The 26,937-nt window shown below is 45.5% G+C and overlaps 2 long non-coding RNA genes and 1 pseudogene across 3 annotated transcripts, besides 2 other annotated features; 1 reads left to right on the top strand and 2 right to left on the bottom strand.

The window, feature by feature from the left end:
• The first annotated feature begins 10,026 nt into the window (after positions 1-10,026).
• On the top strand, positions 10,027-18,758 carry FAM41C (family with sequence similarity 41 member C). Its single transcript, NR_027055.1, has 3 exons — positions 10,027-10,083; positions 11,674-12,717; positions 18,154-18,758. It is a non-coding gene; the product is annotated as a family with sequence similarity 41 member C (long non-coding RNA).
• On the bottom strand, positions 12,315-13,538 carry TUBB8P11 (tubulin beta 8 class VIII pseudogene 11; annotated as a pseudogene).
• Positions 16,625-17,034: a silencer, noted in NCBI's record as "silent region_2". NCBI's record gives its function as "represses an Ori minimal core promoter by ATAC-STARR-seq in GM12878 lymphoblastoid cells {active_cell/tissue: GM12878}" and the evidence as "EXISTENCE:reporter gene assay evidence [ECO:0000049][PMID:35858748]".
• Positions 18,627-26,647, bottom strand: LOC107984850 (uncharacterized). Of its 2 annotated transcripts, XR_001737608.3 has the most exons (3): positions 25,556-26,602; positions 21,330-21,569; positions 18,627-19,409 (listed from the first exon to the last, which is right to left on the bottom strand). It is a non-coding gene; the product is annotated as an uncharacterized LOC107984850 (long non-coding RNA). The 2 variants fall into 2 exon arrangements; XR_001737607.3 differs by lacking the exon at positions 18,627-19,409 and having other exon boundaries at positions 20,988-21,569; positions 25,556-26,647.
• Positions 19,449-19,948: an enhancer, noted in NCBI's record as "H3K4me1 hESC enhancer chr1:802261-802760 (GRCh37/hg19 assembly coordinates)". NCBI's record gives its function as "activates a minimal SCP1, AML or CMV promoter by ChIP-STARR-seq in naive H9 embryonic stem cells {active_cell/tissue: H9 hESC(naive)}" and the evidence as "EXISTENCE:reporter gene assay evidence [ECO:0000049][PMID:30033119]".
• Positions 26,648-26,937: the final 290 nt, after the last annotated feature.

The raw sequence follows: 26,937 nt of genomic DNA, 5'->3' as shown, positions 1-26,937 counted from the left end.
GAATGCTCGCTGGCTCACTGGGGCATGCGTGGAAACCCAGGAGTTTTGCATCCTATGCCCCGAGAATTCCAGCAAAGTGGGAGATACATCTGTGCATTCCCCTAGGAAGGGGGCTGAATCCAGGGAGCCAAGTGACATCATTCTGAGGCCCCACTCCCACAGCACCTCACAAAACCCATTGGCTTGGAATTCCAGCTGGCCAGAGGCAGCAGGCTGGAGACAGCCAGAGATGGACCGAGTTCCTGGAGGGAAGGGCAGCCACTATATCTGTGGTTTGAGTTGGCCACTCTAGCCTGCTGGCACCAGGGTCCAGGAGGAGTTTCCCATAACACAGCACAGCTGCTGTGCCTGATTGTGGCCAGGCTGCTTCTTTAAGTGAGACCAAAACACATCCCTCCTCACTGGACAGGGCCTCCCCATTGGAATTTTAGCAACTCCAGCCAGAGTTCTATGGACAGAACTCTGATTTCTCCCTGGGATGAAGTCCCCAGGGAGAGGGGTAGCTGCTATCTCCCCAGTTCAGCTGGCTGAGCCTTTCCAGCCTGCTGGCTCTGGAGACTCCCGGGGATCAGCACAGCACAGCACACCTGCTCTGCCAAAGGGCAGCCAGACTGCTTCTTTAAGCAGTTCCTGATCTTGTTTCCCCTGACTGGGTGAGGCCTCCCAACAGGGGTCTCCAGACACCTCCTACAGGAGCGTTCCAGCTGACGTCAAGTCGGTACCCACTTGGATAGTACTCCCAGAGGAAGGATCAGGCTGCCATCTTTGCTGTTTTGCAGCCTTCACCGGTGATACCTCCAGGTGCAGGAGAGACTGAGGTGACTAGGGTCCAGAGTGGACCCCCAGAAAACCACAGCAGCCCTAGGAAAGAGTGGTCTGACTGTTAAGAACAAACAGAAAGCAACAACAACAATATCAACAAAAAAGACCCCACAAAAACCCCATTCAAAGGTCAGCAACGTCAAAGATCAAAGGTAGATAAGCCCACAAAGATGAGAAAGCATCAACACAAAAACGCTGAAAACTCAAAAAGGCAGAATGCCTCTTCTCCTCTAAATGACAACACCACCTCCCCAGCAAGGGCACAGAACTGACCCAAGGCTGAGATGGCTGAATTGACAAAAGTAGGCTTTAGGAGGTGGGTAATATCAAACTTCACTGAGCTAAAGGGGCACGTTCTAACTTAATGCAAGAAGCTAAAAATCATAAAAGAACACAGTAGCTGATAAGCAGAATATTCAGTTTAGAGAGGAACATAACTGACCTGATGGAGGTGAGAAACACAACATGAGAACTTCACAATGCAACCATAAGTATCACTAGCAGAATAGGCCAAGTGGAGGAAAGAATCTCAGAGCTTGAAAACTATCTGATACAAGACAGGAAGAAAAGAATAGAGAAAAAAGAACAAAAAAGAATGAACAACAAAACCTTCAAGAAATGTGGGATTATGTAAAAAGACTGAACTTAAGACTGTTAAGGATAGCTTGGCCCACCACGATCAAGATGGCTTCATCCCTGGGATACAAGGTTGGTTCAACACAGGCAAATCTATAAATGTAATTCATCACATAAACAGAACTAAACATAAAACAACACGACTATCTCAATAGATGCAGAAAAGGCCTTCAATGAAATTCAACATCCCTTCATGTTAAAAACCCTCAATAAAATAGCTATTGAAGGATCACACCTCAAAATAATAAGAGCCATAAATGACAAACCCACAGCCAATATCATACTGAATGAGCAAAAGCTGGAAGCATTCCCCTTGAAAACTGGCACAAGACAAGGATGGCCTCTCTTACCACTCCTATTCAATATAGTGCTGGAATTTCTGGCCAGGGCAATCAGGCAGGAGAAAGAAATAAAGGTATTTAAATAGGAAGAGAGGAAGTCAAATTATCTTTGTTTGCAGACGACATGATCCTGTATCTAGAAAACCCCATCATCTCAGCCCAAAAGCTTCTTAAGCTGATAAACCACATCAACAGAATCTCAGTATACAAAACCAATGTGCAAAAATTGCTAGTATTTCTATACATCAACAACAGGCAAGTAGAGAGCCAAATCATGAATGAAATTCATTCACAATTGCTACAAAGAGAATAAAATACATCAGAATACAGCTAACAAGAGAAGTGAAGAACCTCTTCAAGGAGGACTACAAACCACTGCTCAGAGAAATCAGACAGGACACAAACAAATGGAGAAGCATTCCATGCTCATGGATACGGAAGAATTAATTCGTGAAAATAGCCATACTCCCCAAAGTAATTTATAAAAGAATTTAATGGTATTCCCATTAAACTACCAATGACATTCTTCACAGAATTAGAAGAAACTATTTAAAAATTCTCATGAACCAAAAAAGAGCCCAAATAGCCAAGACAATTCTAAGCAAAAATAACAAAGCTGGAGGCATCACACTACCCAACTTCAAAATATACTATAAGGCTACAGTAACCAAAACAGCATGGTACTGGTACAAAAACAGACACATAGACCAATGAACCAGAATATAGAACTCTGAAATAAGAGCATACACATACAACCATCTGATCTTTGACAAACCTGACAAACACAAGCAACGGGGAAAGGATTCCTTATTTAATAAATCATGTTGGGAAAACTGGCTAGCCATATGCAGAAATTGAAACTGGACATCTTCCTTACACCTTATACAAAAAAATAACTGAAGATGGAATAAAGACTTAAACATAAGACCTAAAACCATAAAAACCCTAGAAGAAAACCTAGGCAATACCATTCAGGACATAGGCATGGGCAAAGACTTTATGACTAAAACACCAAAAGCAATGGCAACAAAAGAAGCCAAAATTGACGAATGGGATCTAATTAAACTAAAGAGCTTCTGCACAGCAAAATAAACTATCATCAGAGTGAACAGACAACCTATAGATTGGGAGAAAATTTTTGCAATCTATCTGTCTGACAAAGGGCTAATATCCAGAATCTACAAATAACTTAAACAAATTTACAAGAAAAAACAACCCCATCAAAAAGTGGGCAAAGGAAACAAACAGACACTTCTCAAAAGAAGACATTTATGTGGCCAACAAACATGAAAAAAAGCTCATCGTCACTGGTCATTAGATAAATGCAAATCAAAACCACAATGAGATACCATCTCAAGCCAGTTAGAATGGCTATTATTAAAAGTCAGGAAACAACAGATGCTGATGAGGCTGTGGAGAAATAGGAATGCTTTCATACTGTTGGTAGGAGTGTAAATTAGTTCAGTCATTATGGAAGACAGTGTGACAATTCCTCAAGGATCTAGAACCAGAAATACAATTTGACCTAGCAATCCCATTACGGGGTATATACCCAAAGCATTATAAATTATTATACTATAAAGACACATGCACTGTATGTTTATTTCAGCACTGTTCACAATAGCAAAGACCTGGAACCAACCCAAATGCCCATTAATGATAAACTGGATAAAGAAAAGGTGGCACATATACACCATGGAATACTACGCATTTATGTCCTTTCCAGGGACGTAGATGAAGCTGGAAACCATCATTCTCAGCAAACTAACACAAGAAAAGAAAACCAGGCCAGGAGCATTGGCTCACACCTGTAGTCTCAGATCTTCGGGAGGCTGAGGTGGGGAGTTGAGACCAGCCTGACCAACATGGAGAAACCCCGTCTCTACTAAAAATACAAACAATTAGCCAGGCATGTTGGCACATGCCTGTAATCCTAGCTACTTGGGAGGCTGAGGCAGGAGAATCGCTTGAACCCGGGAGGCAGAGGTTGCAGTGAGCCGAGATCGCGCCATTGCACTCCAACCTGGACAACAAGAGTGAAAGTTTGTCTCAAAAAAAAAAAAAGAAAAGAGAGAAAGAAAAAAAGAAAAGAAAACCAAACACTGCATGTTCTCACTCATAAGTGGGAGTTGAACAATGAGAACACATGGACACAGGGAGAGGAACATCACACACTGGGGCCTGTCATGGGGTGAGAGGCTGGGGGAGAAATAGTGTTAGGAGAAATACTTAATGTAGATGATGGGTTGATGGGTGCAGCAAACCACCATGACACGTGTATACTTACGTAACAAACCTGCATGCTCTGCCCATGTATCACAGAACTTAAAGTGCAACAAAGAAAACTTTACATAAATGCATAAAGTCTAGAATAGCTAATATATTATAATGAAATGTCAACTATAATCCCAGCTCAAAGAGAACACCATGAAATTATGAAGGGCTCTCCACAAATCTCTAAATTTATGTCTTCATAAGATTACATCTCTATTTCTTCTTGAATAATTTCCTTATTTTAGCTATGATTTAGTGATAGTAAGATGGTAATTATGAGGAGAAAATTCTCCTAACACTGCATTGAGAAAATTCTGCCTCATTTCACCACACACCAGAGTCTTAAGCAGTCACTTCTAATGTAGCTGAACAATAGATCCTCACCCACCTGAGTCTATGAGTTGAATCCACGTATGTGAGATAAGGCACCCAAGGAGTGGTAGTAAGCTGGGAATGCCATCAGCTCATCTTCCTTCAGGCCTATATTTGTCATTGTCACTTGTAGAAGCAGGACAGCCCTGGCGTTGTGGTTGGTAGAAATACAGAGTATCAAAGGGAAAACTGAAGTTCCCTAATTTTTGGAAAACAGCAGATTGGAGACAGATGGGCTCCAGCGTTTTCCATGTGTGAGGTCATTGTCCCAGGGAGCCTTGCTCAGGACCATATTTCTTGTCAGCAAAACAGAAGTCAAACGATATTTCTACCTTCCAAGAGAATAGAACATAATGTCAGATTTTCTCATGGATTCCCACAGGTTCAAGAAAGTTTCATGGCCTTATTTAACTGCTTAAGCATTTCAACTAAAAAAAATTTGTCTTTCAAATACACAGGAATCTGTTTGGAAAAATTTTAACCAGAAAAAGTTGAAATTGTAAAGTGAAAAACGCATAAAGCCATAAAATTTTTTTCCAGCTTTTAATTTAGATGTCAACTGGGGAAAAGAAAACATTCTCTGAAGTTTGCTTTTATACCATTAAAGACTTATTTTTTATTACCAGCAATACAGGGTGACTTAGTAAACTTTAACTTAATTTTAAGTTTTGGCTAATTTTTAAGCATTTCTCAGTCACCTACCATGATTTCATCTCAGAAACCAAAAATCTCAATTTCATTTAGACCTTTGAAATATTAAAACAGAAGTTTAAATGCTTCAAAATAATATTAATGTAGAGACTTACATATGTGGACCAGAAATCTCCATGTATTACAAAGTTTATGAGAACACAACAAATGTTGATACACATATTTAATTCTGAAATAAAAACTTACAACAAATAAAACTGTAACAAATCAAGAAAATTTTGTAGGTTACACATTTTATGTCTAAAAATATAGTTATTAAACACCCAAGAATGGATAAAAGAAGAAATCACAAGAGAAAATAGAAAATATCTAGAGACAAATTAAAAATATGAAATACCAAAAGTTAAGAGATACATCAAAAACAGTACCACACGGGAAAAATTTATAGCTATAAATGATTATAAAAAATAAGATACCGAATCAACAACTTTACTCCTAAGGAAAGAAAAACAGAGGGAAAAAGAGGGACTATTAAAGAGGGACAACTAAAAGCTAGCAAAATTTTAAAAATGATAAAGATAGCAGTGGAAATAAGTGAAATAGAGAATAGAAAAAGATATCAAAAACCAACAAAACCCAGTTTGTTCTCTGAAAAAGATAAAAACTGACAAAATTTTATCTAGATTGACTAAGAAAAAAAGGGAATACTCAAATTACCAAACTCAAAAATAAAATGGGTACATAACTAACAAACTTTTGGAGTAAAAAAAGGATGTAGAAGAGTACCATAAGGAATTATACACTAAAAAAATTGAATAACCTAAATAAAATGAACAAATTCCTAGAAACAAAAAACCTACTAAGACTGAATCAGAAAAGTTGAATAAACCTATTGAGCAAGGAGATTCAGCAGGAAGATTGCATCAGTAATAAAAAACCCAGCAACAAAGAAAAGCCTGGACCAGATGGCTACACTGTTGAATTCTACCCAACGTTTAAAGCAGAATTAACCCAGTTTTTCTCAAACTTTTTCAAAACGTTGAAAAGGAGGTAACATTTTCTAACTTATTATATGAGGCCAGTATTACCCTGACACCAAGCCAGACAAAGGCACCATAAGAAAACTACAAACAAACATCCCTTACAAATGTTGATGCAAAAATCCTCAACAAAATACCAGCAATTCAAATTTAGCAGTACATTAAAAGGATTATACACTATGAATGAGTATAACTGACTCCTGAAATAAAAGTATGTTCTAACACATGAAAATCAGTGTAATATCACATTAACATAATGAAGGAAAAAACCTCATGTGATCATCTTAAAGAAAAAGCATTTGTCAAAATTTAACCCACATTCATGATAAAATGTACTTAATAAATTATAAAAAGAAAGAAAACACCTTAACATAATGTTATACAAAAAAAACCCCAAAAAACAACAACAACAAAAAACACAGCTAACATGGTGAAAGACTGAAAGCTTTTACCCTCAGAGCGAAAACAAGGATGCCTGCTTTTACTACTTCTATTTAATGTAGTACTGAAGGTTCTAGTTAGTTAAAACAATAAGGTGAGTAAAAGAATAAAGGATATTCCAATTTTTTAAAAAGTAAAATTATCTGTTTGCAGATGACATAACCTTATATATTAAAAATCTTTTAGTTTCTGTGAAATAAACTGTCAGATACAATAAATAAAATTCAGCAAAGTTGCAGGATACAAAATCAATACACAGAAATCAGTTGTATTTCTACAATAACAATAAACTATCTGAAGAAGAAATCAAGACAACAGTATCATGTATGATAGCATCAAAAGAATAAAATACTTAGAAACCCACTTAACCTGTACAGCAAAAACTATAAACATGGCAGAAAAGTATTAAAGATGACACAAATAAATGAAAAGACATCATGTGTTTATGGACTGGAAGACAAAACCTTGTCAAGATGCCATTGTTATCTATAGCGATCTACAGATTCAATAAAATCACTATAAAAATTCCAATATATTCAAAAATAGAAAAACCTATTCTAAAATTCAGATGAAATCTAAAAAAATCCTAAGTAGCCAAATCAATCTTAAAAACTAACAAAGTTAGAGGACAAACACCTCCTGGTTTCATACTTACTGTAATGCTTCAGTACCCGAAGCAATGTTGTACCAGCATAGAGACAGACATAAAGACCAATGCGATAGAAATAAAGAACCGAAAAACACGGTCATGATTTTTAACAAGGGAGTCAACACTATTCAATGGGGAAAGGATGGTATTTTTTAAATGGTGTTAAAAATGGATATTTACATATATCCATATGTATATATATGTGTGTGTGTATATATATATCCCAAATTAGCTTTTTGTGTGTCATGTATATTGCAGATCTATTTCCCCAGCCTGTTGACTTTTGACTTTGAGGCATTTTTCTCTCATACAAAGTTTTAATTTTTATGGAGTCAAATACATCAGTCTTCTATTCAGTGACTTCTTCATGGTTTTGGTGTTTCATTTTAGGATGATAAAGAAGTTGTAGATATGGATAAATTCGATGGTTGGACAACACTGAATATATTGGATGCCATGGAACTGTACCTTTAAACATGGTTAAAATGGTAAGTTTTATGTTATATATATTTTACCACCAAAAAAGGGCCAGGCTTAGATGTTTATATGTTAGGGGTTTGGAGTACCTCTAACATTTATTCCCCTCCAGGGGAATAATTTATAAACAAACACCCACACAAGAAAAGTAGATACTGACTTCACAAATCTCCTTACAAGTCCCACAGCAGGGGCTGTCTGGGAAAGCAGAGGTGGAAAAAGTCACATAAACTTGAGGTCAGTGTGAGACCTCCCATCCCCTACTCTGGAATCAGATGGAGGAAGGCAGGTATGCAGGCTGAGCTGGAGAGATGAGCTGGGGTGGGCAGAACTGTCCTCCCATGAGCCTAGACCTTAACTGCTCCCACATGCTCCCAGGCATGTATCAAACCAAGAAAGCGGCTAGGAGGGTAACACAGCTACCTGTATACAGGGAGCCATGAAATATCTGAGCTGCGCAGGTGATGCACAAGGAGACAGAAGCAGTATGACCTTTACACAGTGACCTGACTCAAATAATTTCAGGCTGTCATTAACCAGGCGAGCTCCGCTTTCTCTCTGAGGTAGGTAAACTTGAGGGGGTAAAGAGGGAGTTGGGGAAAATGGAAAAGAAAGCCTGGTAGTATTTCTTCTAACTCTGTCATAAATAAAAAGTAAAACATAGATGCCGTTTCTCAGGGCCCAAATGTTAGGTGAAAAAATGTCATCTCAGTCATGTGATGTGGACTTCAGCCGAGCAGGACACACATGGTCATTTACCCTTTCCCTCTGCATGTCGTGTGCTTTTTCAGTTTATAATGTACCTGATCCACTTGTCTCATCACACTAGCTGCAAACAAGGCCACTGAATGTCACAGCAGGTGGCTGGCATGTCTGTGAAGGGCAGAAACTGGGGCAGCCAAACAGCTGGCAGAGGCCAGCTAGGAAGTACCTGATGCCCACTCCATAGAGGACTCCACACTTAAAAGACAAGATAAGAAAGTGTCAGGCTGCCTCACTAGTTATCCCCCCAAATAAAAAAATAAAAGTAACCCCTCCAGGGAATGTGTGTGTACACACAAAAGTACATGCACACAGCTACATGCAAACGGGAAAGGCTGGGAAGGAACCAAATCCACCTCTGAACACCAGTTACTTGTGGGGAAGGGGCAGGTGAAGCCAACTGCCAGCATTACTCACCTTTTCAACGGATGAGCTTGCATCAGTTTTGGCAATTTCTCATAAAAAGGCAATTTTCACTCCTTGGGTGATCACCCAGGCCCTGCAAAACTGAGCCACCAACAACCACCTGCACCACTTCCCATGAGGCCAAATAATGGCTTCCCTCAAAGCTCAGCCCTCCCACACACCTCCCAGTCCTGTCCCATGCAGGGGGCTGCTGGCCTCCTGGGGTACATGGGTCCAGGCCAAACCCAACCCACAGATGGTTGGTGAAACCAGCATGTATCCAAGGGCCTTTCCCCAACCTGGGTCAAGTGCCAACTGCCAACTGCATAGATAGGCCTGTGCTTGCTCCCCTAGGACAGAGACTCCCTTTTCTTCCATTGGAATGAGGGATGGGGAGATTTGATGTCCTGTACAGGTTGGATGTTAATCTGATGTGGTGCTGTTGGAGAAGCTTGCCTGAGTTAGGCGCCTTCTCAGCATGTGGTGTGTGCTGCCCCTTCAAGCTGCAGGAGTCCCAGAAGGTAAGTGCTGCTGCAACCCCCATTTACAGGTGAGCAGAGGTCAGGTGATCTGCAGGCGGCCAAGCAAGTGCTAAGTGGCCAACAGGCTGGATCTGCATCTCACTTGCAGAGGCCCTGCCTGGCAGCTGGGGCTGCCCCGAGACTCCCTCCTCCTCCTCTTCCCTCCACAGCTCTCCCGGCTTCTATCCACAGCTGTGCTCCAGGTGGGGAACACCTATGGATGCACCAGAGTGCAACTACTCAGACCCCAGTGTGCAGAAGGGCCCTGGCTCCATGCCGTTTCCATATCCAAGCCCAAGCTCATCTAGAGCTTCAGCAAATCCAAGCCTCCCTGAATTCCCTGCAAGACCAAACTGAGCCCTACAACTCCCACTACACTGGTTAGCTGCCAGCCCCAGCCTCTGCTCCTTCCTGGGCCCCTGTCGGCACAGTTCTGAAGTCCTACAAGAATGTTGAGATCCTAAGCCGACTCTCACCCAAGAGGTAAACAACCAGGGGCCTCCAGGGGTAGAGAACATACCCAGACAGGTTCTGCTGCCTGTAGGCTTCATGTCCTTCCCCTACAACACGCCATGCTTGCCAGGCTGGAAGAGGGGCTCCAGAAACTTGGAAACCTGGGCCTGTAGCTGGCATATGGAAAAGAGGCCTGGAAAAGCACCACTCCTGTCCATGAAGCCCCCAGATGGAACCAGGTAATTGGGAAATACATGGGCACTAAGCCTGATCCCCCCTCAGACTCAAGTGGGAACTGCAGCGGTGACTTGCCCCCTCTGCCACTGGCTGTGCCACTACGGGAGGGAGGAACATCTAGCCCCACGTGTGAGTGGAGACACTAGGTGTGGGCAGGTTCCAGTGGTTGCTGTAGCTGAACCTTCCCAACCAGGTCCATGCAAGGCCATCTCAGATGGGTGCGCACCTGGGTTGGGCAAGGACACCCCTCAGACAGTGAGAGCCACTGAGTGGGGCTGTCACAGAGGCCCCTTTTCCTAACCTGAGAACAGTTTGGGGGAGTATGGGGGAGTGTGGGGGAGTATGGGGGAGCGTGGGGGAGCGTGGGCGAGTATGGGGGAGCGTGGGCGAGTATGGGGGAGCGTGGGGGAGTGTGGGCGAGTGTGGGGGAGTGTGGGGGAGTGTGGGGGAGTGTGGGCGACTGTGAGGGAGTGTGGGGGAGTGTGGGCGAGTGTGGGCGAGTGTGGGGGAGTGTGGGCGAGTGTGGGGGAGTGTGGGCGAGTGTGGGCGAGTGTGGGCGAGTGTGGGCGAGTGTGGGGTGTGGGGGAGTGTGGGCGAGTATGGGCGAGTGTGGGGGAGTGTGGGCGAGTGTGGGCGAGTGTGGGGTGTGGGGGAGTGTGGGCGAGTATGGGGGAGTGTGGGGGAGTGTGGGGGAGTGTGGGGGAGTATGGGGGAGTATGGGGGAGTATGGGGGAGTGTGGGGGAGTGTGGGGGAGTGTGGGAGAGTGTGGGGGAGGAGCGTGGGGGAGTGTGGGGGAGTGTGGGGGAGTGTGGGAGAGTGTGGGGGAGGAGCGTGGGCGAGCGTGGGCGAGCGTGGGGGAGCGTGGGGGAGTGTGAGGGAATGTGGGGGAGTATGGGGGAGTATGGGGGAGTTTGGGGAACCTCTCCCACCTCCCAGCTGCTTCCAGGAACCACTTCTTTCGAGATGAGACACTCTCCTGCCTGCCTGTCCCCATTTGGCTGCAATAGACCATTGACAACATTCAGAGAACAAGAAGGGGCCTCACCTGCTTTCCCGGACATGTCAGAGGCAGATGGGCATGCCTAGGGGACCTGGGGTAGCGCCTGTTCATCTCCCCACCCCTGGGCTATGCTGGCTTCATCTTATCTGTGTGATGGGGGTAGGGTGGGAATTACCAAGAGACCAACACACAGGCCATGGACAAGTTCTACAAGAGCCAGGGAGAAGAACACTGTCCGTGCGTGTTGCCCAGCACCCAGCTCACACACACAGCTCTCATTTGACAGCTTCCCCAAAGCAGGCTTTGCAGTCCAGGCTCCCCAAGAAGCCTGGGGAGGAGACTCTGCCAGGCTGAAGGGCCTATCCCCAAAGGTGCCACCCTCACCAGGCTCATCCTGACAATCTTGGATTATTTTTTCCCTGAAGTTTTGGAGTGGGGGACAGGGAGACAGCAGACACTGCACATCACCCACCTTTCCAGAGAGCATCAGCCCTCCAGAGTGGGGCAGGTCAGACCTCCACTCGGGCGTTTTTCCTCACTGGTTGCCAGTTGGGGGAAGCAGCACTTGTGAGCACCTGCCTGTCTCCCCAGGTCCTGTTCAGAAACCCCATCTGTGCCTTTGGAGAGACTGCCCCGAGCACACAGGCCCAGCAACCGCCATCTATGGCCCCCAGGACCTAATCCCTTCTACATAGGGTTCAGTGCATGTGAGTATACACCGGGCTTGATTCCTGCCTAGTCCCTGCCAGATACCCCATGCCCACCTGGTGAAGAGAATGAGGCCACACAAACACACCCAGGCCATCGTGGTGATGGAGTGCCTGGGGTCCTACTTGCCCACCCTTCCTTGCTGGTTCAGAGCCAGCTGTCTGACCACATTCCTACCCTGAGATGAGACTTTGGGGACATTGTCCACCAGGGTCACTGACCCCTTTTAAAATTCCAGAAACAGAGGGCCAGCTGGTCCCCTAGAAGTTTGGCACATGGGATAAGCCAAGGCTTGCCTTCAGGAACAGGTTTTCCACCACGTCGCTGCCCAAGGCCCAGGGCATCCCCAAGTTCATGTGGCACCTGCCTGCCATGTCCACAACCCATGCCGACCCCTCCTAGAGCCACTGGAATGCTTGTTCCTGGGCATGTGATAAACCCAGACAGCTTCAGCCTTGCAGGACAACTATGCACATCTGGCAGCAGTAGCCGGAGGGCCCATGGAAAGAAGTTGGAGGTGAAACCAGATGCTGTGAAAATATTAGGCAAAACTGCATACTATAAAAGTGCTTTAAAATGCAGCAGGAGGAGAGGTGAAGACACAAATGAATAAGTGCTTAGAGACACATGGCTGTCAGAACAGTTAAGAATCCACGCTGCTTCCCCCCTTTACCTAGAAAAGGAAAATTCTAGGCCACCTCCTCCTCAGCATACTCCTCAAACTCCTCCTCCTCAGCCGTGGCATCCTGATATTGCTGATATTCAGACACCAGGTCGTTCATGTTGCTCTCGGCCTCGGTGAATTCCATCTCTTCCATGCCCTCGCCCGTGTACCAATGGAGGAAGGCCTTGCGCCTGAACATTGCTGTAAACTGCTCTGAGACACGCTTGAAGAGTTCCTGGATGGCCGTATTATTCCCAATGAAGGTGACTGACATTTTTAGCTCCCGGGGTGGGATGTCACAGACGGCAGTTTTTAAGTTGTTGGGGAGCCAGTCAGCAAAGTAGCTGCTGTTCTTATTTTGAATGTTGAACATTTGTTCATCCACCTCCCTCATGGGCATGCGACCCTGGAAAATGGCAGCCGCCGTTAGGTAGCGGCCGTGACGGGGGTCACGGGCAGCCATCATGTTCTTAGCATCAAACATCTGCTGGGTGAGCTCAGCCACAGTCAAGGCCCGGTACTGCTGGCTGCCCTGGCTGGTCAGTGGGGCAAAGCCGGGCATGAAGAAATGCAGCCGGGGAAACGGGACCATGTTCACGGCCAGCTTCCGCAGGTCAGCGTTCAGCTGGCCCGGGAAGCGCAGGCACGTGGTGACCCCACTCATGGTAGCAGACACCAGGTGGTTCAGGTCACCATAGGTGGGTGTGGGCAGTTTTAGGGTCCTGGAACATATGTCATATAGCGCTTCGTTATCTATGCAGAAGGTCTCATCCACATTTTCTATGAGCTGGTGGACTGAGAGGGTGGCGTTGTAGGGCTCCACCACGGTGTCCGACACCTTGGGCGAGGGCAGGACGCTGAATGTGTTTATGATCCTGTCTGGGTACTCCTCCCGGATCTTACTAATGAGAAGGGTACCCATCCCAGACCCAGTCCCCCAACCCAGGGAGTGGGTCAGCTGGAAACCCTGCAGGCAGTTACAGCTCTCAGCCTCCTTTCTGACAACGTACATCACTGACTCCATCAGCTCGGTGCCTTCTGTGTAGTGTCCCTTGGCCCAGTTTTTTCTGGCCCCACACTGACCTGTAAGACAGTACAGCCAGTCACTCCACGGCCAGGTATACGGTCATCAGTGGTCACCACCATAATGCAAAAAGGACCAAGTGTCACGTGTGAGGTGAGAGCACCATTCGCCCTGCAGGTGGAGCAAATGAAACCCCCTCCCCCGGAGTTACAGGACAGCAGCTTCCCCTGTTAGAAATTAAGTCAGGAGTCAAACCTGAGACGGGCTAACCTCGCTGCAGGTGGAGCAAATGAAACCCCCTCCCCCAGAGTTACAGGACAGCAGCTTCCCCTGTTAGGAATTAAGTCAGGAGTCAAACCTGAGATGGGCTAACAGACCTCGCTGCAGGTGGAGCAAATGAAACCCCCTTCTCCAGAGTCACAGGACAGCAGCTTCCCCTGTTAGGAATTAAGTCAGGAGTCAAACCTGAGATGGGCTAACCTCGCTGCAGGTGGAGCAAATGAAACCCCCTCCCCCAGAGTTACAGGACAGCAGCTTCCCCTGTTAGGAATTAAGTCAGGAGTCAAACCTGAGATGGGCTAACAGACCTCACTGCAGGTGGAGCAAATGAAACCCCCTTCTCCAGAGTCACAGGACAGCAGCTTCCCCTGTTAGGAATTAAGTCAGGAGTCAAACCTGAGACGGGCTAACCTCGCTGCAGGTGGAGCAAATGAAACCCCCTCCCCCAGAGTTACAGGACAGCAGCTTCCCCTGTTAGGAATTAAGTCAGGAGTCAAACCTGAGACGGGCTAACAGACCTCACTGCAGGTGGAACAAATGAAACCCCCTCCCCCAGAGTTACAGGACACATTTTTAGGTCTTAGACTTCAATATTTAAAATATTTGTCTCTGGAATTTGAAAATAATATGTATGCCTTGTTTACTGGATTAAAAGGCTAATCACTTATTCATCTGATTAGTAATCAAAGTTTCTAAAATTTATTTAATACTTGATGTTACTTTGTTTTATATAAATGTGTATTTCTACGATAGTTTTAGTGTCATCTAATATTATTTTCAATGTTGTAATTTTTATTTATATGAATCTTTGTGTTATACATCTTAATGTCACTGGTATTAAAACTATATGTGCAAATAGCTTGAAATAGCACCTAACACATCATGGATTCTATGTAAATATTCACCACTCTATTTCATCACATTTTAACCAATTCATACCATTCTTCATTTGCTAACATTTTATTTGTCCTCATTCAAATTTGTGTTGGTGTCCTGTCTACATATTAATAAAAGAGAGGAGGTAGGCCCAGACTTCCATCTCGATTAAATACTAAGACATTTTCCTAGTTCTATTTATACACAACATTACATTTGTCTCACACTATAAATATGAGTATTCAGTTAAGTACAGCAAAAAAAAAAAAAAAATCTTAACCTTCCTACAACAGATGTTGGGATATTCACAGATTGTCCACAACTTCTTTCTCCCAACATTATTTTTATTCTTACATCTCAACTGCCATGAAAACCTAGAAGCATGAAATACTACAAATTAGAAACAAATTCCCTGCTATACAGAAATTGTAAAAGTAAACCAAGAAGAAAGAGAATATATGCATACTCATACAGCAAGTAAACAGATTAGACTAATGAAAACTCTTCATCAGTCTAGCCCAGGCTCACAAAGCTTCACTAGTGAATTCTATTAAACACTTAATGAATAACCAATCCTTCACAAACACTTGCAAAGCAGAGAAGCAGGAAAACCTCAATTCATTTTTGAGGCCAGTATTACCCAGATAACAAATCAGACAAAAGCATCACAAGAAAATAAATGTGCAGACTATTATCCCTCATGAATGAAGACAGAAATCTCCAAAAACTCTAGTAAACTGGAAGAAGCAACACATAAAAATGTTAGATAAGCCTGGCATGGTGGTGCACACCTGTAGTGCCAGCTACTTAGGAGGCTGAGGTGGCAGGATCACTTGAGCCCAGGAGTTTGAGGTTATAGTGAGCTGTGACTGTGCCACTCCACCCCAACCTGGGTGACAGAGTGAGGCCTCATCTCTAATAAAAATTAAAGAAAATTAGAAAAAAGTTAGACAATATAACCAAGTGGAATTATCCTACCAATACAAATCTAAAAATCAGTGTAATACACCATATTAATAGAATAAAGGAAAAGACCATGATGATTTCAATGGACGTCTGACAATGTCTGACACTCATTCCTGATAAATCTTCCAGAAATCTAGCAATAGAAATAACTTCCTGAACCTCCTAAAGGACATCCATGAAAATTTAATAAATTCCACTAAGGTATATTGAAAGGCATATTGATACTTCCAACTCTATGGTTTTAAAAATTAACAATGAAATCAGAACTAATAACAGTAATCTAACCATCTGGAAAACATTAAACACCTTTCTAACAATATTTCTTTTGATGTGATAAAGGTAAAAATCCAAATTTAATAAGAGGAGTGCTTTTGAGACGACTGAAATTTGGTGTTCCTAATTTTTCTGACTTATTAGCAATTAGAATCGAATTATCAATAATGCCAAGAAGACAGGAGTACTCTCCAATGACATTAAAATGTATAACACGAAGATTTATAGTTAGGCATAATGTGTAACACAAAGATTCATTGTTTGGCATAACAGCATTTCATATTCGAATCAGTTAATAACATTGTCATCATTGCATATTCTCCTGGAAATAACACACAACACAGACTTCAAAAAACCAGAGCTTTTGCTGGGAATATATGCTCCTTCCAAAGGCGATTGATTGTGTGCAATATTCTGAGAATTAATTCCTCCAAAGTTAAAGTGTGGCCATCTGGGCTTCTGGGAATATCCCAAAAATCCACATATTCTAAAAATCTTTTCCACTACAAACCACCATAAATGCTGGACAACAGAACATGTGCTCAACTGCGCAAATTATACTTTGGGGCTTTTGTACACAGTTTTTGCACGGAAATGTTTAAGTGAATATAAATTAATTGAAATGTTTTCCAGGTGGATACTGAGGGAGAAATAGAAAAATCCAAGACAATCCCCTGTGGAAGAAAATTCTCCAACCCAAAACTCAGCCGAACTCAAAGCGCTGAACAGCGCGTCAACTAAGACCTGTCAAATATAATCACACGGGGCCCAAATATAATCACGGGGCCCGGGCCCGGCGTGGGGGTTGTAGGCCGGCGCCACAGCCTGAGGACACCGCGACCTCTGCCCCGCGGAGCGCGCCGAATGCCGGGTGGGGCTGCTGTTGCGGGCCGTGGAGCCGCGGCCCCGCTGGAGGGCAGGGTCCGGCTGGGCGTCGGGGTCCTGGCAGAGACCGAGGCGAGGGCAGGAGCAGGTGCACTGGCCGCTGCACAGGCGCCGCCAGGCTCCCGGACACCGCGGGCGCGCCCCCTGGTGGCAGCCGGCTCCGGAGCCGCGGGAGGGCGTGCCCAGTCCCCAGCCAGGCGGCAGCGCGAAGCTCCTTCCCCGCGTGGGGGAGTGGGCGTGGCCCAGCAGCGCGAGTGCCTTACTAGTGAAAAAGCTGGGGTTGGAGCTGCCACGGGGGGAGGTGTGGGGGCCTGGGGGCTCTGCCTGGACCTTCTGGGTGCCCTCCTGCGACCTCAGTTTCCTCACCTGTCTCAGAGGACTGATGGGCTGCTATGGCAGGGTTGTTTGGAGGATTAAGCCAGAGAGTCCCAGTAAAGCCCCATTAGCCCCCCGGACTCCGGATTTTTTTTTTTAATTATTTTTCTTGCTTTCTTAGGAAACTTTGCGGAATGTGTCCAGGTGTTGAAGCTCTTGATGGCGAAAGGTAGAAAAGATAGATAGTAAATAGATAGATAGATGATAGGCAGGTAGATAGATAGATGATAGATAAATACATAGCTGTTCCAGAAAACAGAAATGGATAACTTCATGAACCAAAAGCAGAGTAATATACTTTAGAAAGGAAGCAGGCCGGAAAACCCACAGTTGCAAAACAAATAGAATTTCCAACTGCCTCTTGTAGCCCCTTCCTGGAAGTAGCCACAGCCCAGGGTGTTTGACTTCTTCCTCTGTTTTTTGTTTGTTTGTTGTTTGCTTTTCTGTGGGGTTTTTGTTGTTGTTGTTTGCTTTTTTTTTTTTAAATTCCCTTTCCCTGCTTTTTTGTCACAGCAGCCTTTGTCACTTCAAACACCACAAGTGTTCTTTTAAAAAATTATATCAACCTTTCAATTAAAATGCAACATGTCTGAAACTTGGTATCTGGGGAGGTGAGATGGACAAAGCAGCCTTTGTTACTGCACGTTTTCATTCTTCAAACTTCACCTTGCACATAGTAACAGACAATGCACAAAGCCACTTCCTTATGGACCGAAATTCTGAAATCCTTTTATGCCTGGCCTTTCCATCCTTCATCTTCCCCTCTCCCATGCTGTGAATGATTGTATTGGACATTTTTGTTTTAATCTCAGTGACAGGGGAACACAGGCAGCTCTAATATAGCTGTGACCCAGATGCTTCTGTTTCTAGCATGTATTTATTTTGCAGCAAACATTTACATCCATGATGTTTCACTGTCTTTTGAAAATAATTAGGCAATATCTCATCTGAGGTAGGTTGTCTCTAGGGATTGTGTTCTGAGGGAGGAAAACTAATCTGTTCTCTTTCCACTGCATTCTAGGAACAGCAAGAGGACCTTGTGCATGAATAATTTGTTTCCATACTACAGAGTGGGTAATAAGCAGATTAGTAAAAACAATTCTGCTTCACTTCAATAACAGCCTCCTCCAACTCATTTTTTCTCAACAAACTTATTTTTCCAGCAGAAGAATCCCAGACTTCTTAGAGAACCCAGTGACTTTTTGCACCTTAAATCTGTGAAATCCTCATGTTTTCTTCTGCCGTATCCATAGTTCAAACAAAGATGAGGCAAAGCTAGACGCATTCCTGAAGGAACCCAAGAAATTCCTCTCTTTCTCTCTCTGGAATGAAATGAATTCTCTAGACCACCAGTTCTAACCTTCAAAAACCAAACCTGTTTGTGAGCTGTCCTTCAAATACTACTGTAGACCCCAGTGTTTATTCATTAAATTTTTTAAATATTTGTTTTATTTGGAATCAAAGTATTTGTAATTTTAGTATTTGTATTAATATCAGGGAGAAATGTTTAAATCTGTCTATGCCATATGTGCCTCTGGCTTATTGCCCAATTAATTGTAGCCTCAGGCTAAACTTTGGTTTCTGTCTTTAATTTTTGTCAGAAGAAATATAACTGATCTCAAAACATCTGCTTTTATTGTAGGGACTCGTGCTGCCGTCTCCATTCTTCTCTCTTTTCTTGCAATCTGGGTGGAAGTTCTTTAATGTGAACATTTCAACCACCTTCATTCTACCATGTCCACTATGAGCACATTCAAACTTATCCAGCCAAGGGTATCATCTTAGGCCAGGGATTTTTTAGGAATCTATTTTGCTGTGATGCAGCTGGCACCCCTTTGACTCACTGTATCACCCCAGGGTTCTTTTCATTTCAGAAGCCCAAGAGGGCAGAAAAAGAAGTAGGTGAGCAATTAAACACTCTGAGTCAGGAGCGTCTCCCCTTGTGTTAGGCAATGTTGTAGAACATCGTATTTAGCAAGCTCCCAGCAGATGAGCCACGTGGCTGCTGAGCACACACGCCTGCTTGCTGCTGTGAGCTCAGACACCATCATCATGTCTTTTCCATCTCTGGAGGGAATTGTAAGGGCCACTTAATAACCTGTAAATCACAGAGAGTTAAAGGTGCTTCCCCAAAACACTGATGACAGAATGAACGGTGAGGAGTGTTAGCCACAGGTCAGAAGTGCAGGAAAGTCTCTCAGTGTGGGTTGTTGAAGAAATGCAGGTCTTTTTTCTTTTGGAAGTCTCCCTAGAATGCGGTCAAGGACTCTGCCCACTCTAGGATGAAAAATTGGGATATTAGACACCCTCAGATATTTATCCCAAGCTTTCATTTTGGGCTCTTAATTAGTTCATCCATCACAATCTCAAATGCTAAGCAGGGCAGTTGAATCTCTCCACAGTCCAAATCAGCACCGTCTTTTAAAGTTGAGTTTCTTATTATTCTCACCTGGTATACCTTATTTATCCCACACCCACCCCAATAACATATCGTGCTCACTGTTGGGAGGACGTCATGGATGCAGGTGCAGGGGGAAGACCACGTGAGAGCACGGGAGGACGTCAGGGATGTGAGTGCAGGGGGAGGACCACGTGAGGGCATGGGAGGACGTCATGGATGCAAGTGCAGGGGGAGGACCATGTGAGGGCACGGGAGGACGTCAGGGATGTGAGTGCAGGGGGAGGACCACGTGAGAGCACGGGAGGATGTCAGGGATGTGAGTGCAGGGGGAGGACCACGTGAGGGCTCGGGAGGACGTCAGGGATGTGAGTGCAGAGGGAGGACCACGTGAGGGCTCGGGAGGACGTCAGGGATGTGAGTGCAGGGGGAGGACCACGTGAGGGCTCGGGAGGACGTCAGGGATGTGAGTGCAGGGGGAGGACCACGTGAGGGCTCGGGAGGACGTCAGGGATGTGAGTGCAGGGGGAGGACCACGTGAGGGCACGGGAGGACGTCAGGGATGTGAGTGCAGAGGGAGGACCACGTGAGGGCTCGGGAGGACGTCAGGGATGTGAGTGCAGGGGGAGGACCACGTGAGGGCACGGGAGGACGTCAGGGATGTGAGTGCAGAGGGAGGACCACGTGAGGGCACGGGAGGACGTCAGGGATGTGAGTGCAGGGGGAGGACCATGTGAGGACATAGGAGGATGTCTGGGATTCGAGTGCAGAGAGAGGACCACGTGAGACATAGGAGGATGTCCGGGATTCGAGTGCAAAGGGAGGAACGTGTGAGGACATGGGAGGATGTCAGATATACGTGTGCAGAGGGAGGCCCACATGAGAACATGGGAGAAGATGTCGTCTGCAAGCCAGGGAGAGGCCTCAGGAGGAGCAGCCCTGCCACACCTTGCTCTGGGACTGCCACCCTCCAGTACCCTAGGAGAACACATTCCTGTTGGTGAAGCTGCCAAGGCCGTGCTGCAGCACCAGGGGCCTCTGGTTGACAGACTGCAGAGCAGCGATGCCCGTGGTAGCCTCCACGTAAACTCTCTAGAAGGGTTTTGTTTTCTATCCTCATTTTTCCTGCCTTATCTTTCAAGAGGCTTCCTTTGCCTTCACTTGTGTAGGTTCGTTTCTAAATACAGAGAAGGAATGCAGGCAAAGGAGTACCAAGCCAAGCCATCTTTTTAAAAGATAAAAAGGGCACATTTTTCTTCCTTCCTGAGGAACTCATACACCAAGTATGCACAGAACACCTGTAAATGGTAGAGGATTCAGATATTTTGAAAGCACAAAACCTACTCTTGAAGAACACACAACTGCTGAGTGGTAACAAAGTTTTGGCCGCTATAGCTGCTAAAAATAGAGTTGTCATATTCTACAACTAAAAATAAAGAAATACATCACTGATCAAACACGCTTGATGGCCTTCATTTGCATACGGTCGTGACAAGCCCGGTGGGAGGTGTAAGAATGCTTGGGTGTTACCCTGCCCCTGAGGAGCTCATGAAAGCGGTGTTCACAGCATGCTGCAGTTGCTCACATCGTAGTTCATAAGGCATTTTCTCACATGCCACCTAAACTCTTCTGCGTGGCAGCTGGGGCAGGCACCACCTTTCTATTTCTCAGGTGTGAAAACTGAGGGTCTCAAAGAGGCAAGCACTTGCCAAAGTCACGCAGCAAGCAAGGACAAATGAGAGGGAGGCGTCTCCAACCAGGCGCAGGCTGACAGATGTGGGCCCGTGAGCACCACTTACCCTCAGGTCTGTGATAGGGGTCAGATGGGTGACAGCCACATGAGAGGCCGTCCTCTTGGGGTTGAGGAGAGAGGCCACTCTCCTCTGGGATGGGCTTGAAAGATGTCTCTGTACAGGGTGGGCAGAGAGGAGAGGGAGACCTTCTCAGAGCAGGGAGGTGCACGCTGTCACCAGGAGCTGGCCAAGAGGCTCACCAGAGCTGCGGTGGAGGCCGTGCAGACTGTGTGGCGGGGCTGGAACCTGGTTTCATAGAAACAACAGGGAGAAAACAGAGTTGTGAGCTGGAGAGGTTCATGGCCAGATGAGCTGCACAGGTGGGTGGTGGGACCAAGGCCACAGTGGTCAGGAAATGCTGTGAGGGGACAGTGAGGAAAGAGGATGTCCCAGGGCCGTTCATGCTTGTGACCACAAAGAAGAGATGGCTGGGCCAGGCTCCCCCTTAGCAGGTCTGGTAGCAGTTATGCAGGTGCGATCATCAGTTGATTGAAGAGCTCTCGGGTGAAAAGACACAGAATAGTTCCCATGTCATCGATGCCAGGGTGGGTTTTTATCTCAAAGAAGGCCCGTGCCCTACAGCTGGGAAATGCCATTCCCTTCACTGCTGCTTCTGCATTTAAAAGTCCTATCAGTGCTAATGGAACTCACAAATGCCTCACACAGGGGAAAACACACTGCATGAATAGGGATAGCAATTTATAGGACTGACTGAACTTAAAGACATTGAGATTACATCCCGCAGAAAGAGGCTGGCATACAGTCCAAAAACTGGCCTAGTTAGGTGGCATTCTGAATGAACGTCAGAAATAGCCTGTTATTTTTGCCTCAATCAGCCTTTGCATATTCTTTTTCTTAAAAGCTTAAAGCAAACAGAAAGACATGCTCAGTCCTAAAGGTTCTTTGTGGCCCAAGATGTTCTGGCATGAGAACTGCCCTATGCCAGGAGGGAAATGTTCCAGGAAAGGAGGTGTTGGTGGTTTTCAGCCACAGGAACCACCTCCTCGTGACACCCAATCCTGGGGAATTAATTCTGTGACCCCAGAATAAGTTTCCAAGGACAGGGATGTCACTTGGGTAAGGCATACCAATTCTCCAACTGTGAACACATCTCCGCTTTTCCAACCTCAGCCAAAGGAGGCTGCAGCTCTGGTCGGGCTCTAACACATGCATGGCTGTCATGGATGCCCATGTGTGCCTGGGCAATAGACGAGGGTGTGCCTTGCTGGCCCTTTCTGTGGTGCCCTGGCTAGCCCACCACCATTGTGCAGAGGAGGGTGCTGAGGCCTCTGGAAGTTACTGCAAGGTCACCAGCCCTTGCCCCTGGAGGAATCCGTGTGGTCCCAGCTCTCAATCTGCACACGTCGTATCTCCTCCTTAGGGGAGATTTCCCACCCCCTCTGAACACAGTGAAAAGTGAGTATGGTTGAAAGCACTGGCCTCAGTCCATGTTCCCTGATAGACACGGCCACATCTGTCAATCTAACCTTTGGGCACAGCACCTGCAAGAAACCAAGGCCCAGGCTGCAAAGAAAGGACGCGACAGAGCCTGGACACCGCTGCCTTCATGGGAGCTTGCTTGTGCGGGTGATACTGATGAGGCTCCTCGCGTCCTGTGGGTGAAGCTGGAAGTCCCAGGCTTTGCCATCTCTGGTTCCCCACTTCCCCAGTTTCGACGCTCTCCTCTCTCCCCACCCCGGCAAACACACCCTATGATCTAATTCAGCATTCTTCAATTTATTCACAAAATCATTTATTGCTCACGAAGGGATCAAGATCCATGCACACAAGCATTATTCCGGTTTACACAGCATCTTCTCGCTTCTGTGACAGATTCACTTAGGATGGTACACCTTCTCAGATTGTGTTTCCTTCTCATACAACGTCCAAACACCACTTCTCTATCTGGTAAGCTCCTAGTCATACCTTAAAGCCCAATCCAAATGCTATCAACTCTGAAACCTTCCACTACCCAACCCTGCAAGCAGAGCTGCTGTTCCCACAGCTGTTTGCTGTATAACTGATTATATTTGTATTTTTGTATTATATTTGTATATTCCGGATATTTGCTCACATCTTTCTCTCGCATTAGGTAGTGTTGCATGCCACAGCACCAGCACCAAGTGTGGCTCGTAATGTGCTTGCTCTTTATCCAAGGAAAGAGGCATGAGAGAGGCACAACACTAATGAGAGAAGCATTTTCAGTGGACTGTGTAGTAAAACCTAAGTACAGCTGTCCTAGGGAACAAGCCAAGGGAATCTGCCCTCCCCTCCCTCACTTCCAAACAGAACTGGCAACTGTAGGTGCACCCCTTCCTTTTCTTCATAAGGGCCCTTGGTTTTTCTTTGGAAGTCATTCCTCCCTGACAGTCTGAGCATTAATTTGGATGGGGAGGCTCCGACCTTGTGTTTTCCGGGGAGGCACAGAACCTGGGACTACCCTAGGAGAGTTCTCCATCCCCTGGCCTCTGAGATTGGTGCAAGATGGCTCCTGACCCCAGCAAGAACAGCATGTTACCCCAAATTTTGCCAGAAGTCTTGAGGGAAAGTCCTCTCTGATGTACTGGCTGCAAAGCATCATGCAAGCCCTGAGCTTTGTTACAGCTGTGCAGAGAAAACCATCTTAGAAATGAAGCCCACACAGAGACAGCAGAGTCAAAGATGGAGACAAATTTCCAGATGGTGCTGAGCACCTGGATCCAGCCATGCCTGATGCTCACACTGGGACTTTTGGTCACTTATCCTAAGCCATTTTGAAGTGGGCTTCAACCCCCATTGCCACATAAAATATCCTGGTCATTCTCCACCAATCTCCATATCAGAGGGGAACCAGCACCATAGTCAGGCAGCATGGAAGACGGTGCTCAGGGAAGAGACAGAGGAGTTTCTGCTGCAGGGTCCTTGTCATCCTGCAGACCCAGGTCTAGGGAGGACAGACACCCAGCATGGTCAGGGCATTCTGGGCAGAGGAACTGATCATCAGCCCCTCAGCCACCGCAGAGGGAATGAGTAAGGGAGTCACCAAACAGCAGAAGCAAGAAAGCACCGTATGCCTTTGCCTTCACAAGGTCCAGCCTCCACCCATTGTGACAATGATAACGCCGACCCAGAGGAGATGTGGAGAGGACTCTGGCTCCACTTCTGTGGTTCTGTGCCCATGCTGAGAGGTGCAGCTTCTGGAATAGCTGCCACTTCCATGTTCCCTTGTTTATCTTTTGTTGTCAGATTACAATATTTCTGATAGCTGGCTGAAATTCGACGTTTCAGTTTGCTGACTTTTGAATCCAACTGGTAGCATTCAGTGAAGTTATGATGCTCAGTCTATCATCCTTCTCTCTCTATCTCTCTATCAATCATCTATCATCCATCCATCTATCATCTATCTACTATCTACCTTATCTACTATCAGCTCTCTATCATCCATCCATCATCCATCTATTTATCTACCATCTCTACCATCCACCTATCTACCATCTATCAATCACCTATCATCCATCCATCCATCTATCATCCATCTATCATCATCTCTATCTACCATCTACCTATCACATCTATCTACTATCTAGCTATCATCTATCATTATCTATCATCTATCTACTATCTACCTATCATCTATCAATCAAGTATCTATCATCCATCCATCATCCATCTATTTATCTACCTATAATCTATCTACTATCTACCTATCATCTATCAATGATCTATCATCCATCTATCAATCACCTATATACTATCAACCTATCTACTATCAATTAATTACCAATATCTGTCATCTACCTATACATAAATCACCTATGTATCTATCATCTATCCATCTTCACATGCACACATATGCACATACACACATACATGTACATGATGTATGTGTCTATACTCATACACACATATAAAGGCAATTCTTATTTCTTATTTTCAGTATCTCCTCCCTGATCAGTGTTCGAGCTGTCCAGGAGATGCATGGCTGCTCGAAGGGTCTCACAGCCAGTTTGACTGCCCCTACAACCAGTTCTCTCCACATTTTAATGTGACATGACAGGTGAAAACAGTCATTTACTCTAATAAATTCTCCTCAGCAAAATGAGAGATTACTTTAAAATCGAAGCAGCCAGGACCAACACCCTGGGTGAAAACAATTACATTGATTGCTATGGGGAGATTCGAAACTCTTACAGAGGGCTGAGAAGAAAAGTCAGCTTAAAACGTCCACATTCAAGAGTTAAGTTAGTACTTACAAAGGGCAGGGAACTGTCTAAGGCCACGACCACAAGCACAGGGGGCCTCTGGGCATCAGCGCCAGGCCAGCGAGTAGAGAAGTCCGGCTTGGAGAGTACAAAACAGGCGCGATGTCTAAAGTCCATTGTGCCGCTGAGGAGAGAGGCCATTTCTCTTACTGTCTCCTGTCTGAAGAGGAGGAGGAAGTAAAAGTTGAAAAACAACAGGAATGAAGTCAGTGGCAAGACCAGCTGGTGCCCCTGATGATCAGGCCTGAGGTTAAAAGATTAACCCCCCCACCCCACTCTAAACGCATGTGCTCTCAATCTATCACGACCCTTTCACGTGGAACCTAAAGGTTGTAAACCCTTAAAAGGGCCAGGAACTCTGTCTTCAGAGAGTTCGGTTCTTGAGACTTGAGTCCGCTGAAGCTCCTGGCCGAATAAAACCAAATCATTCCTTAACCCGGCGTCTGAGGGGTTTTGTCCGTGGCTCATCCTGCTACAACACCGAGAAGTGCCAAGAAGGAAAAGGGCCTCTGGCCCGTGGGTGTTGGGCAGAGTCAGAGAAGGTGGGCAGGAGAACCAAAGAGGGCCCGTGGCACTGACGTTAGCAGGCACATGGAGGAGGTCTCGCTCCTGGAGCCTAGAATAGGAAGGATGACTAGGGAGCTGGGAGGGATGGAGGGAGGGCATTTGACGTGGACAGGACTTCTGCCTTCAAAGAAGGGCATGTCTTTAGGTTCCCTGATAAATTCAACTTCTCCTGTGCTCAGCCTACAGCAAAAAGAAGGTGGGGCCAGGTACAGTGGCTCCTGCCTGGAATGCCAGCATTTTGGGAGGCCAAGGCGGGACGATTGTTTGAGCCCAGGAGTCCAAGACCAGCCTGGGCAACATAGTGAGACCTTGTTGCTACAAAAAGGTTTAAAAATTAGCTGGGCACAGTGGCGTTTGCCTGTGGTCCCAGCTACTCAGGAAGCTGAGGTGGGAGGATCGCTTGAGCCCCTGGAGGTGGAGGTTGTAGTGAGCCAAGATTGTACCACTGCACTGCAGCCTGGGTGAAGAGCAAGACCCTGTCTCCATAAAAAAAAAAAAAAAAAAAAAAAAAAAAAAAAAGATGGTAGTGATGATTCTAGCACCTTCCTCAGGTTTCTTTAGATTCCTGGTTCTACCTGCATGGAGCATTTTGTATGGCAGGAAATTTTTTCTTCTTGTAATAAACAGTACACAGGAAATTGTGGAATGAAATGAAGCCCAAGTAATTCTGTTGACAAAAGCAGCATTTTAGTTAATTTTCAGATAAGATTTCTCAGCCCTCTACTGTGAATTTGCCTTTCTGATTGTTGGAGATAATGAAAGAGGTCATAAAACCTTCTTTATGGGTATTATATCATTTGTCTTCA

This window comes from Homo sapiens, chromosome 1 (assembly GCF_000001405.40).
Source record: "Homo sapiens chromosome 1, GRCh38.p14 Primary Assembly".
Classification (NCBI taxonomy): domain Eukaryota; kingdom Metazoa; phylum Chordata; class Mammalia; order Primates; family Hominidae; genus Homo; species Homo sapiens.
Note: the sequence above shows the minus strand (reverse complement) of the source record. Positions and strands in the feature narration are given on the sequence as shown.